Source organism: Homo sapiens, chromosome 7 (assembly GCF_000001405.40).
Source record: "Homo sapiens chromosome 7, GRCh38.p14 Primary Assembly".
Lineage (NCBI taxonomy): Eukaryota > Metazoa > Chordata > Mammalia > Primates > Hominidae > Homo > Homo sapiens.
Genome location: NC_000007.14, coordinates 7,312,438 through 7,330,494, shown reverse-complemented (window position 1 = coordinate 7,330,494; position 18,057 = coordinate 7,312,438). Strand labels below are relative to the sequence as shown.

The 18,057-nt window shown below is 41.8% G+C and overlaps 1 long non-coding RNA gene across 1 annotated transcript in view, besides 2 other annotated features; it reads right to left on the bottom strand.

Moving 5' to 3' along the window:
- Positions 1-18,057, bottom strand: part of LOC107986764 (uncharacterized) — a 106,009-nt gene that overhangs the window by 46,918 nt on the left and 41,034 nt on the right. The window lies entirely within an intron of this gene.
- Positions 8,702-8,751: an enhancer, noted in NCBI's record as "active region_25640". NCBI's record gives its function as "activates an Ori minimal core promoter by ATAC-STARR-seq in GM12878 lymphoblastoid cells {active_cell/tissue: GM12878}" and the evidence as "EXISTENCE:reporter gene assay evidence [ECO:0000049][PMID:35858748]".
- Positions 8,802-8,901: an enhancer, noted in NCBI's record as "active region_25639". NCBI's record gives its function as "activates an Ori minimal core promoter by ATAC-STARR-seq in GM12878 lymphoblastoid cells {active_cell/tissue: GM12878}" and the evidence as "EXISTENCE:reporter gene assay evidence [ECO:0000049][PMID:35858748]".

Genomic DNA, 18,057 nt, shown 5'->3' with positions numbered 1-18,057 from the left:
ACAAACCGCTTGAGAGTGCAGAAACGGCATCTGCAGCTTTGGTTAGGACATCCTGCAGCAGACAGGACGAAGAGCAGAAGGGAAAATCCCCAAATTATGCACAAGCACAGAAACCCATGATTAGTGTCCTTGACCATGATTAGTGTCCATGACCTGTGCTCATTATAATAGTAAAAAACACACTCCTGGGTAGAGAATTAAGATGCTAATAAGAAGACATGCCATATATGTGATAGCATTGCACATGCACGCCCAGGAGACCACCTGCAACATGCTTAAGCCAACAGCCAGGCTCATTCCCACCCTCTTATGAATAATCACATAAGCTTTCCATAAATGAGATTTCCTAATGTCAGAGGGGACTGTCTTATTCTCAAGGAACCCAGTTTGACCTGGCTTGCAGAGTGTCCTTTCGCTTTGCAATAAATGTCTTTGCCTGCTTTTACTTTGGACTCACTCTCAAATTCTTTCATGTGGGTCAAGAACATGAAGCAGCCCACTGACAGCAGCACCATCTACAACACAGAGCCCTTCACACTTTGGGCAGAATGCAGGATTTCTCCACCTTTGTATCTTGGCCTGAGACAATAAATGGGGCTCATACCTGGGAGCAAAGAAAAAAAGAGAAGTGGCAGGAGGCTTTTGGGTTGGAAGAGGACAGGACCCTCTTAAATCTGGAAGGGGCAAAACCAATAATAACTTTCCTTATTCCATTGATGGTATTGGCTCTCAGTTCTAAAAACAGAAGATGCTATCTGTGGTCTAGAACTGGACATCTTTGAAAATTTCCAGTCTCTATCCACAAGCCCCTCTGCCCCCTCCCTACTACTAATATCAATAAGAAGAAGGAGGGCTTGCCAGACCTCCGTCAAATGCTCAAAATTCCAGGAGGTGTGTTTCTTGGCATGCTGGTTCCTAGAATTCAATTCCTGTTGGCAGTGGTTTCTCAGCAGTGCCTGGGGGACAAAGGCTTAGTGAAAAGTCTGGGCTTGTTTAATACCTTGCTGGCTCTGAGGAGCTAGTGCCAGAGCTGTATAATCACATCCCCATGGTGCTGTGAGAAAAGAGGCTTTGCTTTGGTCTCAGTGACACAGGTCAGCACTCTTGTCCACTCCATCCTCAGACTCAGCTCCATCAACTACAGATGTACCTATAGAGTCTATTTTAAAATCTGGAGTTTAATGAACAAAATGCTAGAAGAGAAATGTAAAGTTTTAAGCAGACATAAAGAGAAGTTGCCATTGAGGTAAATTTCATCTCCTTGGGCAACACATGTTACTGAGAGACTAAACTAATTCAGCTGAGTGTATACGGGGGCGACGGGGTTGAGATGATGAGTTTGTTTATAAACCTTTATGGTCACATGCCCTTAGACTCAGCTCCTGGGGAAATCATACTTCTAACCATTGTACAATGAGGGTATGTGCAGCCCAAACAGGGCTTGTGTATGCAAGCACCACCTATATGCTAATAAGCTTATTAAATTTTACTTCCTCTACTGTTCTATCAAACACCTGAGCAGAAACCCCACACCACTGCAATCATTTGCACATTCTTCTCCCACTACAGGCTTTTTGAGGGTTGGAACCCATGTCTCTTCTTTGTCTCCTAAGCACCAATGTATAATACTTATGGAGAAAATGAACAAAATCTGAAGTAGGAGTTGGTGGAAGGAGGCAGTGAAAGACCATAGAAAGTTTTTTTCTTTCTGTAATTAGAAAATCATGGCCAGGTGCAGTGGCTCACGCCTATAATCCTAGCACTTTGGGAGGATTACTTGACCTCTGGAGTTTGAGACGAGCCGGGGCAAGATGGTGAGACCTTGTCTTTATAAAAAAAAAAATTCTTTTAAGTTAGCTGGGCATGAGGGCACACTCCTACAGTCCCAACTACTTGGGAGGCTGAGGTGGGAGGATCCTTTGCACTCGGGAGTTTAAGGCAGCAGTGAGCTATGATCACATCACTGCACTCTAGCCTGGGTGACCAAGTGAGACCCTGTCTTATGAAAGAGAGAAAAAAACAGAAAAAGGAAAAAAAAAAAAGAATTATCAGCATTGGCGAACTGTTTGTTATTTGGAGAATATTTTAAATAGTGAAAGAAATCAGAGAACTTTCAAAAGATAACTGGAATGATGAAAATGTCCCATTTTGATATGTGTGATGGTTAATTCCTTGTGTCAACTTGCCCAGATTTCAGTGCCCAGATGTTTGGTCAAACGTTGGTCTAGATGTTGCTATAAAGATGTTTTTTAGATCTAAGGATATTTCAATCAGCAGACTTTGAGTAAAGCCAATTACCTTTTGTGGTGTGGGTGGGCCTCATCCAAACAATTGAAGGCCTTAAGAGAAACAACTGAAGTCTCCTGAGGAAGACGGAATTCTGCCTCCTATCTTCCTTCCCACTTCAGCTGCAACATCAACTCTTCTCTGGGTCTCCAGCCTGCCAGGCTGCCCTACAAATTTTAGATTTACCAGCTTCCCTTTCCCCCTTCCCTTCCTTCTCTCTCTCCCCCATCTCCCTCCTCCTCTCGAGCCCCCTTTCTCTCCATCCTACTGGTTCTGTTTAGCTGGAGAACTCTAATACAATATGTAACAGTTACCTTTTGAGAACGTAATTGGGGATGGACAATGAATATGTTGCGTGTCAGTGCTGCTCTTGAGCCCTTGAAGTATGAAGACTAAGAACAAGTCCTAAAAGGAAACGTGGGAGGCACCTGGACATTTAATCTCCCTGATGGAGTACACATGAAAATCCTTCTAATGTAATCACTCTGGATCTCATTTTCAGCCACTGACCTTCTTTAAGGGGGAAGATCAAAAATGCACCACCCTTAGTCTACTGACTGATTAGCTGGTAAGGCAAAAGTGGCATTGAATCAGAGAGACATGTCCAAACAAGTAGCAAATCTTTTTTTCCCCTGACAGCCTAGATTCAGTCAATAATTAAATTTGTATTGAATGCTGACTATATTTAGAGTACTGAATTAGCTGTTGTTGAGACTGAAAAAGAAGTAAAAGACATTGAATCCCCAACGAACCTGCAAACTAAAGGAGTCAGTTTAGGATAGATCCACACATAGGTGGCAAATCAATTACAATGTTTCATAAAATCACTGTTGTTAGGGAACGTCAGGTGCTATTTAAATGAATTCTTCTTGTAATCTAAACTCTTCTGTCCAATACTTAAATTTTATTCTAATGTAAACAATATTGGGGATTTTCATGAAGTATGTGTATTCCCTATTATTAAGGAAATCCAAAAAAGTTGCTCTATCAGTTAGGCATCTTTATAACTCCAAGATTGACTTAGTAGAAACATTTAAGAAATAGGGAGTTTTAGATGAATAAGACCTAGACTTTTCCCCTAATGGTTAATATCCTAAATTGTTTAAAGTTTATGTTTCTTACCATAAATCTTAATAGAAGTTTATAGTTTATTAATTGTTACTGAGTCCAAGGCTTTTATTTTACAAATATCAGAACTTAGTTCCTGAAGTTAAAATGATTTGCTCATAGTGATTTTCAGCTAGTCACTTTAGTGAGTTAATCTAACTAGTCACACAGCTAATTATAAAGGAAAGTAACTACCCCAAAACAGTTCTAATTTCAATAAATAGGTTGCTATTGTTTTAACTGCCAAAGTTATTGGTCAGGGTGGCTGGGAATGGGGTAACTGACCAGGTAGGATCCTTCACAAAGAGCCCACTCCCAAGGGCTGGTCAGTTCTGGTTCAGCCTCAGGGTGCTGACCATTCTGTGGTTTGTTAAATCCTCAGAGTCTAATAGTGAAGAAACAATAACTTCCAGCCTTTTTGGTTCCAGTTCATTCCTGGGATACAGGTATCCAGAAAGGTAGATCAGCTATGAGTCAAACCTATGGGTTTGGTTGACTCCAGCCAGCCAAATTACCGAAACAGAAACTCAACTTCTTTTCATATAGGAAATATTTCAGAAATATGCATCAGATAGCAGTAGCTACTCGCAATACTGCGTTTACTTTTGGACTGTTTAACAGGGTGTCCTTTAAAGCAGAGTTGAGATTCAAGAGTTGTTCACGCAGTCTCTTGAATGTGTAACCTAGACCTTGGATATGACCTAGAACCAAGTGGCTTAGAATTTTAAATCTACACTTCATCAAAATCCTAGCTTTCTTTTCCACAATCTTAAGATCCAGATAAGCCCTCTTCAGTCCTGTGTTCTCAAGTTGCAAACCGTAACTGTAGAGGTATCCAAGATAAGATTCACTAGGATTTATACCCATTTCCATGCATAATGCTGTAAGAATTGTTTTGCAATTATCATTGACTGTTACTTGTAAAACACCATTTCTTCTTTATGTTAATACTGAATCTCATCTGTCATTTTCACAATGCAATTTCTTCTAATTCATCAGTAATTTCAGACCCCTTAAGAATTAGGTTTGAGAATGACAGCACATCAATATATTAGGAAAAAAAAGATGGAACTCAAGTGCCTTCGTAAGAATTAATGTAATTGGTGACGGTGGGCATGGGTGGCCCACCAAGTGTTTTGCCACTTCCACCTGGTTGCAGAGTGAGGGGCCAAAAGCCTTCTCTGTGTAGGAGTAGGTTGGATGTTCCTGAGAAGGAATGTCCTGTAAGAGACGAGGATTGCCATGGCGTAAGACCAGTTTTAGTCCCCTGAATATCACAAATGTATCAGTGTGTATCTCTGGAGTGGGGCACATCTTCAAGTGCTCACTGCTCAGAACGCTGCACAGTCTCTAGGTCTTTGTCTTCCTCCTACATAATATCTAACCTATATCATTGGTTAGAGACCTATGTGGCCTTTTGTCCTCACATGGTACACAATCCAGGTCTTCTTGCTGTGGGCCCAGCGCCCTTTCCACACTGCCTCTATGCACCACATTGCTATTCACGGTTACTTCAGTGACCCAATCAAGAAGAGAGTAAAATACCTCCTAACACATTAAAATGGCTTTACAACAACATCGTACATAGACAATACACTGAAACACTCATTACATTCATTTTCTCATGGCAATGGGACATTGTGTTTTTTTTTTTTTTTAAATGGATTTGGGATTTGTTTTAACCTTATCCATGTGGTTTTCTATTCTCAATTTCCTCATGTCCCCTTCCAATTACTAACTGAGTCTTCTTTAATTCTTCCAAAATCGAAACCAAAACACTATGTGCTTGGAATCTCAGCTTCTTCTGGCATCCTACAGAAAAGGTCTAACTTATTTGGGTCAGAATTTCCTTTCTCTCTCCCACATACAGGGAAGTCTATCAACCATTTGGCTTTGTAAAGAGCAAGATAGTCATGTTTGCTTCTACCGAGTCTGGTTCTTTTTACTCATGTTATTGGTTAGATTCTTTCAGGTAGCAAAGAAGAAAGTGCTGGAAATCTAGATGATAGGATACATGTAGAGGGCAGATAGGGAGGAAACGATCCCTGAGCCAGTGTCTACTCCAATCTTGTCACTTCCAAGGGTAGGATGTCAAGAGAGCAGAACAGAAACCTTGTCATTCAAGATGTGCTAGTGACCCAGGTGTGGTACTCTCTACTCATTCATTTCTGTGGCAGTTTGAGTAATACTCTGTGTTTGCGTTGAAAGCATAGGGCAATTAGTGGTATTTGGAAAACGACTGTGAAGAAATGAGGCTGCTTTCATTAGTCATAGGTCCTCACACATTCTTTTTATATGTGTGAAATGAAGGTCACAGCTTCAATCTAATTTTCATGTCTGCCTAGAAATTCTAGAATATCAGGGCCAGCTGTGAGTCCAGTTTGTATGAGGACATTCTCAGACTCCTGGGAGAAAGGGCAAAGGCAACTTTAGATTAGATGGTCAGATTCCAGGAGGGTGGGGTCACTCACCTGGGCAGAGGATGCATCCAAGGAAGTTGTCAAGCCTTTCTCACAGGGAATCAGGGGCCAATTAGAGGGATCGGCTGTAGGCTGTTTTAGTGGCAGAGATGGGAGGGACAGACCAAGTCAGGGGTCAGTGGGAAAAGCTGATGCTCAAATAGCAGAAACACCTTCCACAAATGTTCATTTCCAAGGATAAAAGTCAAGTCCACAGGGTCTCAGGTCAGCATCACACTGGATCAGGTTGACAGCAGGATGGGAATAAGTGAGTGGAATATAATACTTGCTGAGGTAACTCTAGGGTGTTGGTTTTTAGAAGGAAGTAGAAGATGGCTTGGGTTGGAGCCACTCAAAGAACTGGAGACAGGACAACCGAACAGCAGAACACTGAAAGAGGTATTCCATATGGCAACTAGTAATGACCTTAAAGCACCCTCTGGCCTGAGTCTGAGACAGTCTTGTCAAGGGAAATCTCTCCAATCATGAGGTAAGATCCATCCCAGCACTCCCATCCCTAGACAGTCTTGGCAGCAGTTGGACAGAAAGTAGCAGCAATGGGAGGAGGGGAGTTATGAGAGTCCAGACGGCAGCAGATGGTGGTCAACAGACAGTGAAAAGAATGTGGGCACATCCCCCCAGCAGAAAAGACACAATAACCACTGAGGAAAATAAATGCCTTCAAGATCTTTGGGAACTAGGAAGAGAATTCTGGATGGGGAAGAAAAGAATGTATGCTTCCCCAATCTTTGATTTTCTCCTCAGCTGTTGAAGCCCCACAGAGCAAGGCTGAGGGAGGAATTCCTCAATTTCCAACATTATGCTCCAGTATCCTCCCTCCAGGCCCAATACACAATACATTCTCCCACAGCTACCACTGTGGCCATTATTCATCTAAATTAGATTGAGCCCCTCTCCTACAACGAATCATTCCATGGCCTCTCATAAAACCTGCAAGACAAGGCTCAATGTGACTTGGCTCCTGCCGCCTACCTGAGTCTTTCATACGCCTCCCACTTCAGCTCCCGTGAACTCCAGCCACACTGGCAACCTTTCTCTGCCTCCACAGTCAAGGCTCTTTCCCACCTCAGAGTGTTTGTACTTGCTCTTCCCTCACCCTAGAAAGCCCTTTCACAGCTCTTTGCATGACTGGTTCACTCTTCACCTCTCAGATCTCAGCTCAAACGTGACGAGCTCCTGCAGTGACTCTTTACCACAATGTTTATTTATTTACTTTTTACTATCTCTTCTGAGAGCAAGTGCCTTATATGTCTTGCTCACTATATCCCAGAATTTAGTATGGTGTTTTGTGTATAACAGGTGCTCCAATGAATTTGTATCAGTTGAATGGGTGAATAAAAAATTCTCAGTTAACAGGGGGAGATAGGATGGGGGCAGGGATAGGATGGGAGAAGGGTAGGATCTTCAGGCCTATGTTTGATGGTGGTGATCTGAAACATTACTGCCTCATTCTTCTCCCAGTAGGGCCATCCTTTCCCTCTCTCCTATTGTCTCTAGTCCCTTTACCTATTTTTCTGAGCCCAAGGTAACATCAGCAGCTGGTACAAAGTTCAGGCATAGAAATGAAGCAGGTTCCAAGGTTCTATAGGAGAAGAAAAGTACCTTTTTCTCTGCTCACCCTAGGTTAATGGCTGAGACTCCTATACGAAGAAAAAAGCAACACATTTATTTAATATGAGTTTTACTAAAGCTGAGTATAAGTTTTATTAAATCTGAGTGTATTTTATGGTAGGTTTGAGGAAGAGTGAATAATGGGGAGGAAATGTGATAGGATGAAGGAATGGCATGATCGAATGGTAATAAACTGGCACAAGGTGTCATATTTTGGGGGGGGGGGTAGCATGTCCCAAACCCCGTCAGTTCTCTGATATAAAGGAATTGGCAAGTCCTCTGTGACCTTAAAATATCTATTCCATCTACTTGCCACTTATCTGAAGTCCTTCCATTAGGTTGACCAGTTATGCCTTTGAGCTAAGACACTGCCTCCTGGGGCCTCTTTTTCGAAGTGGAAAGAGCTCTGGGCAGGGTTTGACAAGAAAAGCTGTCACAAGCTCCCAACCATGAACCCACAGAGCATGCCTGCAAGCTGCTTTGTCCCGGGGACTCCATGATATTGCTTGGGACTGAACCATAACCACGTGGCTCTCCTTTACCAGATATAGAAAGACCCAAGAGCCCACCATTCCTCCCCTAATGATAAGAAAAAACCCAATAAGTTACAACATCGTTGTATAAAAAAACCAAAATGTTTGAACTGTAGGGTAAAAATAATAACCCTCAACAGGTTCTTATTGAAACTGACCCCTGTTACAAAAGACAAATTCAGAAGAGAAAAACAAACAGAAGTTTATTAACATGTATATTTCATATATACATGTCTTTGTAAATCTACATCCTGCTTTTAGGAAAAAAGAGGAAAGGCAGAGAGTGTGCCTGCGTCCATTTCCTGTTAATGGCCTTCAGCTCAACATTCCTTCATATTTTTGGGAGGCATATGCTGATATCCCACAGAAGTAAATGGTAAACAGAACCCAGCTGGGGCTATGACAGAGCCCAGAGCCAACTCAGCTACATTGATCAAACTGACTGGGCTCCTACACAAGTGGCCCCAGCTGAAGCTGTCAACCAACTTTAAGCGTTTCGCCCCAGTGAACTTGTTGTGGAAGTCTTCTCTTTCACAGTGTGAGAATGACAGGGCTGGATCAGACAATAGCCCCGAGCATGACTAACCTGCCCTGGGTGTGTTTTCGGTCATGCAAATATGAACATTGACATTGACATAAGCAGTTCTGCCCGGGCCAGGACTGTTCTTCCTCTGTGTCTCAAATTCCTTTGGAGGGTTTCCAGCAGGAAAATCACTGGACCCTGAATTGACACTACTCTTAACCAGCACATTCTGTGCTGGCATTTTAGATCTAACTATCAGTGTTTGTAGATGACACTTTGAAAGTCATTCTCTTTGAGAGGCAACACTTTCCCCCGTCTTTCCTCCTCTTAGACTTTTCATTTCTCCTTTGCCTTCCTTTAACCCTCTACAACACACACACATACCCTCTGCCTGGGTTCCAAAGCTAGCCTCACTGACCCGAGGCATGGGTCTTGAGCCAGGCAGTCAGTTCTCATCCACGTTGACCTGCACGATTCTGCCAGCCCACTCTCTAGGGGGCTGGGGGGTTCCACCAGTGTCTCCAGCAGTTATGGCTGAAGTCTTATGCGAACCCACACTTGTACAAGTTACCCACAATGTTGAAATACTTTTAGACTTTGTAATTCAAATTTAGGCCTTTAAATGTGTCAAGCCTACTTTTCACTTATGATCAAAAATTTTGCTTTTGTGTTTTCTTGCTTTACCAGGCAGTCACTAAAAGGAATGAAGCCTTCCATTTTTGGAGATCAAGTTTTGTAGGAGCTTATTTTTATTGTAGTTCATGGATTTTTTTTTTTTTTTTTTTTTTTCTTTTTACAGTCTTGATTTCATCCAGGCTCAAGCAGCATGACCGGAGCAATTCATTGATAACCAACAAGAGAATTAATTGTAAGGAAAAAATGTAAAGTCATAAAAGAAGGTCAAGGGTTGGTCCTTCTAACACAGCCATTTTACAGGCAAAGAAAGCCAAGTTTAAAGATTGTTCAAGCAACATGACCAAGGCATACCGCTGTATAGGACTAGCAGAGATGGCCCAGGAATCATGGCCTGCCATCTCCAACCCCACGTTATTTCTGTTTTGTGGGATGACAGGAGTGCTTTGGCCAGGAGAGCCATGGGTAAAGACCACACAACTAGCATTGTCACTTGGGATTATGTTCAGTTGTCACATAACAGAAAACAAATGCATCACAGTATCTTAAACAAATTGGGGATATGTATTTTTTTCCATGAAAAAAGAATCAAAAGGTAAATAGTTCAGGACTGTCCTGGAGGCTCCACACCATGATGGAATAATTCAGGTTCCTTCCAGCTTCCCTGCTCACCTTCATTAGGAAGTATCCATAGTCTTCCTGTTGTCAGGATGTATTTCCAGTTGTCACATCCATGTTCCAGGCGGAACAAAAAGGATGAGCTAAGGGAAGCAAGCTCTCATTGCCACTGAGTTACTCCCTTTTAAAGAACTTTCCAAATTCCGCGCTCTATGCCTTCTGTTTACTTCTCACTGGCTAGGCCTGTGCCATATGGTTATTTCTAGCTTCAGAGGAGGTGGATATGTGAGCACTCTGGATAAAAGTAGGGTCTATGAGTAGGGAAGAGGGAAAAAATATTCTATAGGCAATAGTAGTCTCCCCAAACTGGGGAAGACTGGCCCTAAGAGCCACTAGGAATAAATCTATTCTATCGAATGAGAGGAAACAGGGAGGAGAGGAGCCAAATGCAGTGGAAAATCCTTAGGTTTAATTCTACTTAATTGCTTGGCAGCCTTTGAAACAGTTGATCCCTCCCTCTTTCTTTTTTTTTTTTTTGAGATGGAGTCTCACTCTGCCATCCAGGCTGGAAAGCAGTGGTATGATCTCGGCTCACTGTAGCCTCCGCATTCTTGCCTCAGCTTACTGAGTAGCTGGGATTACAGGTGCATGCCACCACGCCCAGCTAATTTTTGTATTTTTAGTAGACGGCGTTTCACCATTTTGGCCAGGCTGGTCTCAAACTCCTGACCTCAGGTGATCCGCCCATCTCGGCCTTCTAAAGCTGAGGTTACAGGCATTAGCCACTGTGCCTGGCCCCTCCCTCCTTCTTAAGTGCCTATTTTTTTCCTTGGTTTCCAGGAAATCATCTGGTTTTCTCCTGCAGTACTGGCCATTTCTTCCCAGTCCTGGCTACATCGTCTTTCCCTTCCTGACCTCTAGCACCAGAGAAACCTAGGATGTAGGTCTCAGATGGCTTCTCAATCTATGTTTTCTTCCTGGAGCTCTCATCCAGCCCCACGGCTTTACATACTTTTTTTTTTTTTTTTTTTTTTTTTTTTGAGATGGAGTCTCACTCTGTCACCCAGGCTGGAGTGCAGTGGCGCAATCTTGGCTCACTGCAACCTCCGCCTCCTGGGTTCGAGCAATTCTCTGCCTTAGCCTCCCAAGTAGCTGGGATTACAGGTGCCCACCACCACACCCGGCTAATTTTTGTATTTTTAGTAGAGACAAAGTTTCACCATCTTGGCCAGGCTGGTCTTGAACTCCTGACCTTGTGATCCACCCGCCTCGGCCTCCCAAAGTGCTAGGATTATAGGTGTGAGCCACTGCGCCCAGCCTATATACTTCTTATATGCCCCAATTTTTATCTCTAGCCATGTCTTCAACCTTCTAGTCTCATTTTACTGTCTGCCTGAAATCTCTACTTAGCTGTTTAATCGGCCTCTCAATACTAATGTGTTAAAAGCCAAATTTTTAATTTAGCCCCAAACGGATTCCTCCGCCACTGTAATTCATCTCCATAATATGATTACTATTTACAGGTTCATGCCAAAAGCCTCAGTGTCATCCTTGACTTTTTTCGTTTTCTCTCATCCCAATGCAAGCCCTTCAAACTATCTCCAGAATCTGACCACCTCTCACCCCGTCCGGTACTGCATTCCTGGCCCAAGCCACTGTCATATCATCTCTTGCCGGGCCTGTGCCTCCTAACTGCTCTCCTTGTTTCCATTCCTGCCCTTCTGCATTCAATTCCTCACACTACAGCCAGAGTGAGCCTTCTAAAATGGAAGTCAATCAGAACAAGGATCTCTGAGGAATACAATTAAAAAGAAAAAAGAATGGAGTGCAATCCCATTCCCTGCAAGAATGTTATGTGTCACACCTTATCAGACCACATATGTGAGTTATTGGCCTTAACTACTGGACTCCAAAACACATACATACCCAAGGTTTTGACAGAAGTTTGACAGCTCAGGCTGTGGGAGGGCTCATCTCTGTCAACATCTGAGCCATCTCTGTCAACATCTGAGCCTTCCCCATCTACGCTGTCACTGCTCTCTAGCATTGAGGAACCTTGCATGTTCCATGGATCTCCCCTGTGTTGGTCAGGCTGTGTCTCCCAAGAACCTCTTAGAGAAAGGGATGTCTCAAAACTGATCAGACTTTACATCCACAAAGGCCTGTTTCCATCCTAACTGAGCAACTAGACTATGAGAATTCAACTCTAAATGAAATTGGAACTCACTGATTATAGGGTTAACATACCTCATCTATTTGAGAGTATTCCCTGTGAGATTTGTTCTAAAAAAAACTATTTGTGTAACAATAAATGTGATTTGTGAAGTCATACTTTAATCATCTCTTTATTTTAATCATACGAAATAGTCCTCTTGAAGACTGGCATCTGGCTTATAAGATCTTCCTTATCCTATCTGTGTCTCCATTCTTTCCCTTGTTCATACTTCTCCAGCGACACGGGCCCACGTGCTGTTTCTTAAATACACCAGGCATATTGCTGCAAAGAACTTTGCGTTGCTGTTTCCTGTTCCTGGAATGCTTTGCCCTATGATCTCCACATTGCTCTTTCCCTCGGTTGATTCAGGTCTTGCCTCCAATGTTGTCTCTTCAGAAAAGTCTTCCCTGATGACCATCTGTCAGGCCTACTGTTCTTCACCCCCTGACTCAGCATGATTTTATTTTCATAGCACCTATCACTGTCTAATATTATGGCACATATTGGTTAACTTATTTTTTTTGGCATGTCTTTTCCATGAGAATGTACACTCAATGAAAGCAGGGATTTAATTTTGTATAACACTTTATCCCCAGTGCCTGTTGTATAGTAGGTGCTCAGTAAAGATCTGTTGAATTAATGAGTGAATTCATAATAGAGGAAAAAAACCTTTAGGAGACAGTAATTATGACATAGTTTTTGAGTCTTTCTTAGAGAGGCCTATATAGTGCTTTGGAACATTATTCTTTAGCCCACAGAGAAATCCCAAGAGACAGGTGGATCAAGCTGGCAATACCCTAATAGAAATCCTCTGATGAAAGACATAACATGCCCTATTTATTTTAATGCTAATTCCTTACATCTTACAATAAGTACTGCTGACTTTCAGCAATATAATCCCTATCCAGCAGGAGATGAAAATTCTGGAAAGTGGAATGGAAAGGCATTGTTCATCTTCAAAATGGCATTGAAAATATAATGCAAGTCTAAGCCCAAGAAACATGAGGAAACATTATGTTCACTGAGGCTGCTGCTGATCTTGAATTTTAGGAACAGACTGGGTTCTTCACATCAAACCAACTCTTGCAGGTGGAATGAAGATACGATAGACTTTCTGACCAAGCCACTTCTTGAACAGAGATTTGGAGTGATTGTGAGAAGTGTTCATGCATATAGTAGGAACCAGTGTATTCAAATGGCAAAGTGAGAAATAGGCAATTAGCCAGATGACAGTAGTTGAAGAAGACCTTGAAATGTCAGTGATCCATAGCAAGTCAGAACATCAGTGACAGGGAGAAAAATACCCAAGTATGAGTGGAAAAATGCTGGAAGAAAAAGTTACAAAAGAGTCATTGCTGTCAAAGCAACAGAGGATGCTCTGTCTTAAAGGTTTGTTCGGATTTCTCAAAACGGCATTTACAAACATGGGAAGAAAGTATTACAATTAACAACTGTTTTTGCTATTATTTTAGGGTGAGGAAAGCTCTTAGCTGGATCAGATACAAACTCCAGAATCCACAGAATAATGACAAATTAATTACATAAAAAAATACTTCAGGAAAAAATTCATTAATGACAAATAGAGGACACACAATGACAAACTGGGAAAAATATTTTACCAATATATGACCAAATTCTAATTTCCTAAGTCTGTAAAGAACCCTTAATTAATCAATAGATACAGATAACATGCCAAGAAAAAAACAGACAAGGGCAGAAAAGAAATTATATTGCTTGTAAACATAATAATTTTGAATGAAGAAGCTCAACTTACGGGTATATATGCAAAATCTAATTTTTATTTTTCTAAAACTTGCTGCTAACTGTGCTCTCTCGACCCACCCTCACCCCCTCTGTTCCCCATCTATAGCTGTTAACAGTCAGATAACTTAGTATCTCAACCTAGCTCCACAAGTATTTAGTTAAGACAATCCTATTCACATTCTTATACTTCAGTCTTGTTCATTTATAAAATTTCAATCTCCTATTTGATGAAAACCTTAATTTATGAAACTTCATATTCCCCCCATCCCCCTCCAGCACAGGCTAGCTTGGTGACCAGGAATGGTCTACACCCCTTTTTCTGCCCTGTGACTGGTAAGGAGCAGGGAGGAACGCTTCTGCCGGGCAGATTCTCTTGGTTGTTATCACTTCTCTCTTTAACACTGATTGGTCTTGGTTTCCATAGGGAAGATGGCCAAAGCCAGCTTTCCAGGGCACTGGTCATTTGTTTTTTCTAAGGAGATTTCTGTCAGGGGCTTCTTCTACAGAGTCACTGCTCTGGGAGCTCTGGCTAAGGCCTGACTTCTTCCTTGTCACTCCACCTGGCATCCCCATGTCAGCCTCAGTGATGCTACGTCTACCCCACCTGTCCTTTCTGGTGAGGCTTTCCTCTGCTCCCTCCCCTCCCCATTCCAAGGGAACATTCTTGCGGTGGGATGGGAGGTTAGAAAGCACCACCCGCTGTGGTTAAGATCTTGTTAATGATTTATATTTTGAATCTTAGATCTTAAAAGCTTAAAATTGTACAGGATCTGGATTTATAAGTATCTTTTAAAAAAGCTTAAAAGCAAGAACCACATGTCTGAACTTCTTGTGAGCAGTTTTGAGGGACTAGGACAGGAGGTGGTGAACATATGTGACGGGGAGAAGGCTCTCCATGCATCCTGTCCATCACAGCAGCCCAACCACTACCTACTCCAAAGGTAGCAAAACCTTAAGATGGAACTGCTCTTTTAATTGACTGGCCAGTAGCCTTAAAAGTATACCCTGATTGTAGACTGCCTCCTTTCCTTGCCTGTATCAAAATTGTTTCCAGTGAGAAACCCACTGTACTCCCAAAGCCTCAAGCTTTGCAGTTTGTGTCCAGAGAAGAATGTACCTGCCCATTGAAATAAACCTTAGCCACAAAGTCAAGTAGACAAGAAACCTCATCTGCTTTTAAAATATATTCATTTGCCTTTCATTCTGAGTTCCCATGAAGCTAACCTGGCAGTAAATTCTACCTCAACCTTACTTGAGGCACCTCCCAGTCCTCCTGCCTGGATAATGTCAAGTTTCCAGTGCTGATTTAGTGTAGAGGGAGCTGCATAAACTTTGGTTTATCAATTTTATGTCCAAGAAAATGTTATCCATTGTCCCTGGGGGTATGGCAGCTTCACGCCTGGGCTTTTGGTTTACTTCCATTCTACTCTTAGACCATAGCAATCTTTCTGGTGCTGTGGCTCAAAATCCTAGGGACTGTGACTTCTTCCACCTAGACTTGGCAAAGAGCAGTAAGTCCCTGAGACCTCATCACCTTCTTAGGGCAATGTTCTGAAGCAGAAGCATGGCTCTGCTCATCCAAGACCATAGGTCTCTCTTCTCTTCAAGCCAAGGGGTATCTTTTTCTTACCTTGATCTTCTCAGTCTATCTCCCCACAATGCCTCTTTCCCTCATATCTTAATCTACTCAGTTGGCTTCAGTTTCTAGGAAGTGCATAAAGTCTCCAACCTTCCACATACCTTCTCTGAAACAATGACACACAGAGAATACTATGAGCAGGAATGGGGGATGGAGGAGTTAAGAAGAAACAAAAATATGGACAGAATAAGAATTATACAATTGGCCGGGCTCAGTGGCTCACACCTGTAATCCCAGCACTTTGGGAGGCAGAGGTAGGATCATGAGGTCAGGAGATCGAGACCATCCTGACTAACATGGTGAAACCCCGTCTCTACTAAAAACACAAAAAATTAGCCGGGCGTGGTGGCATGCACCTGTAGTCCCAGCTACTCAGGAGGCTGAGCCACGAGAATCACTTGAATCCGGAAAGCGGAGGTTGCAGTGGGCTGAGATTGCACCACTGCACTCCAGCCTGGGTGACAGAGCGAAATCCCTTCTCAAAAAAAAAGAATTATACAATTAATACGCCAAATTATTTCCAACCAAGTCTTGTTCTTGGGCTCAGTTTTTCCAGTGCTTATATCACTAGACATGTGGAAGACCCCTCACAATGTGACATCCAGGCAAGTTTCCTAGGACATATGGTCTGCTGGTGTGCAGTTTCATAAATGGTTCCCTTATATGTCAATCTCAGTGTGAATAAGACTCCAAACAGGATGGTGAGAAGTAAGAAAACCCCATTTCAAACAAGCTTCTTTACCCTTGAAGTCTGTGAATTAATCTATTTATCTACTTTGAAGCTTTCTCTTTGGTTGGATGCACAGTCATTTAATAGTAGAATAATTGGACATGAGCAGATTGTCTAAGTGCACAGGTAATGGGGTTTAAATGTTCCTTTTACATTCTCCCTCTGGCTTGCCTGACTAGCTGCCATTCTTGATTCAGGATGAGACTTATTTATAAATAGGCAGGTTACAGCATCATCTATTTGTGTGAGCTAAGGAGTTCAAAAGTTTTACCCCAAAGAACAAAATATCTTCTCTATCTGTGGTTGCGATCTGAAATTCTACTAGTTTACATTTATTTTCTTTGTAATATACAATGCTTCTGGGATAGCTAATGATGAACTCATCATTTTTTATGGCTGCATAGTATTCCATGGTGTATATGTGCCACATTTTCTTAATCCAGTCTATCATTGTTGGACATTTGGGTTGGTTCCAAGTCTTTGCTATTGTGAATAGTGCTGCAATAAACATACATGCGCATGTGTCTTTATAGCAGCATGATTTATAATCCTTTGGGTATATACCCAGTAATGGGATGGCTGGGTCAAACGGTATTTCTAGTTCTAGATCCCTGAGGAATTGCCACACTGACTTCCACAATGGTTGAACTAGTTTACAGTCCTACCAACAGTGTAAAAGTCTTCCTATTTCTCCACGTCCTCTCCAGCACCTGTTGTTTCCTGACTTTTTAATGATCGCCATTCTAACTGGTGTGAGATGGTATCTCATTGTGGTTTTGATTTGCATTTCTCTGATGGCCAGTGATGATGAGCATTTTTTCATGTGTCTTTTGGCTGCATAAATGTCTTCTTTTGAGAAGTGTATGTTCATATCCTTCTGTTTTCTTTTCTTATGATGTCTTTATCTGGCTTTGGGATCAGGCTAATACTAACCTCATAAAAATGAATACAGAAGCGTTCATGTCCTTTGTAGGGACATGGATGAAGCTGGAAACCATCATTCTCAGCAAACTATCTCAAGGACAAAAAACCAAACACCGCATGTTCTCACTCATAGGTGGGAATTGAACAATGAGAACACATGGACACAGGAAGGGGAACATCACACACGGGGGCCTGTTGTGGGTTGGGGGGAGGAGGGAGGGATAGCATTAGGAGATATACCTAATGTTAAATGACAAGTTAATGGGTGCAGCACACCAGCATGGTACATGTATACATATGTAACTAACCTGCACGTTGTGCACATGTACCCTAAAACTTAAAGTATGATAAAATAAAGAAAAGAAAACCAGGCTCATGAACATAGGTACAAATATCTTTGATTTAAAAAATTAGCAAAACATACCCAGCAAAATACAAAAAGAACTATACATTAGAAACGAACAGATGTATCCCAGAGTACAAGTTAAGCTAACATTCAAAAATCAATGAATACAATATATTAATAAAATAAAGATAAAAAATATGGTCATTCCAATAGTAGCAGAAAAAAGCATCGGACAATTAACATACTAGGAATACAGGAAACCGCCTCAATCTGACACAGGACATCTACAAAAAGCCTACAGCTAACATCATACTAAATGTGAAAGACTGCTTTTCCTGTAAGATCAGGAAAAAGGCAAAGATATCCAGTCTAACAACTTTTATTCAACACTGTACTGGAGATTCTAGCTAGTGCAAAAGGAGGGGAAAAGAATGTAAAGGCATGCTGATTGGAATGTAAAGCCATACAGATTGGAAAAGAAGAGGTAAACTTGTATGTATTCACAGATGACATAATCTCGTGTATAGAAAATCCTAAGGAATCTATAAAATCTATTGTAACTGCTGAGCTCAGCAACATTACAGAATGCAAGATCACTGTACAAAAATGAATTATATTTCTATAAACTAGCAATCAACAATCTGAAAA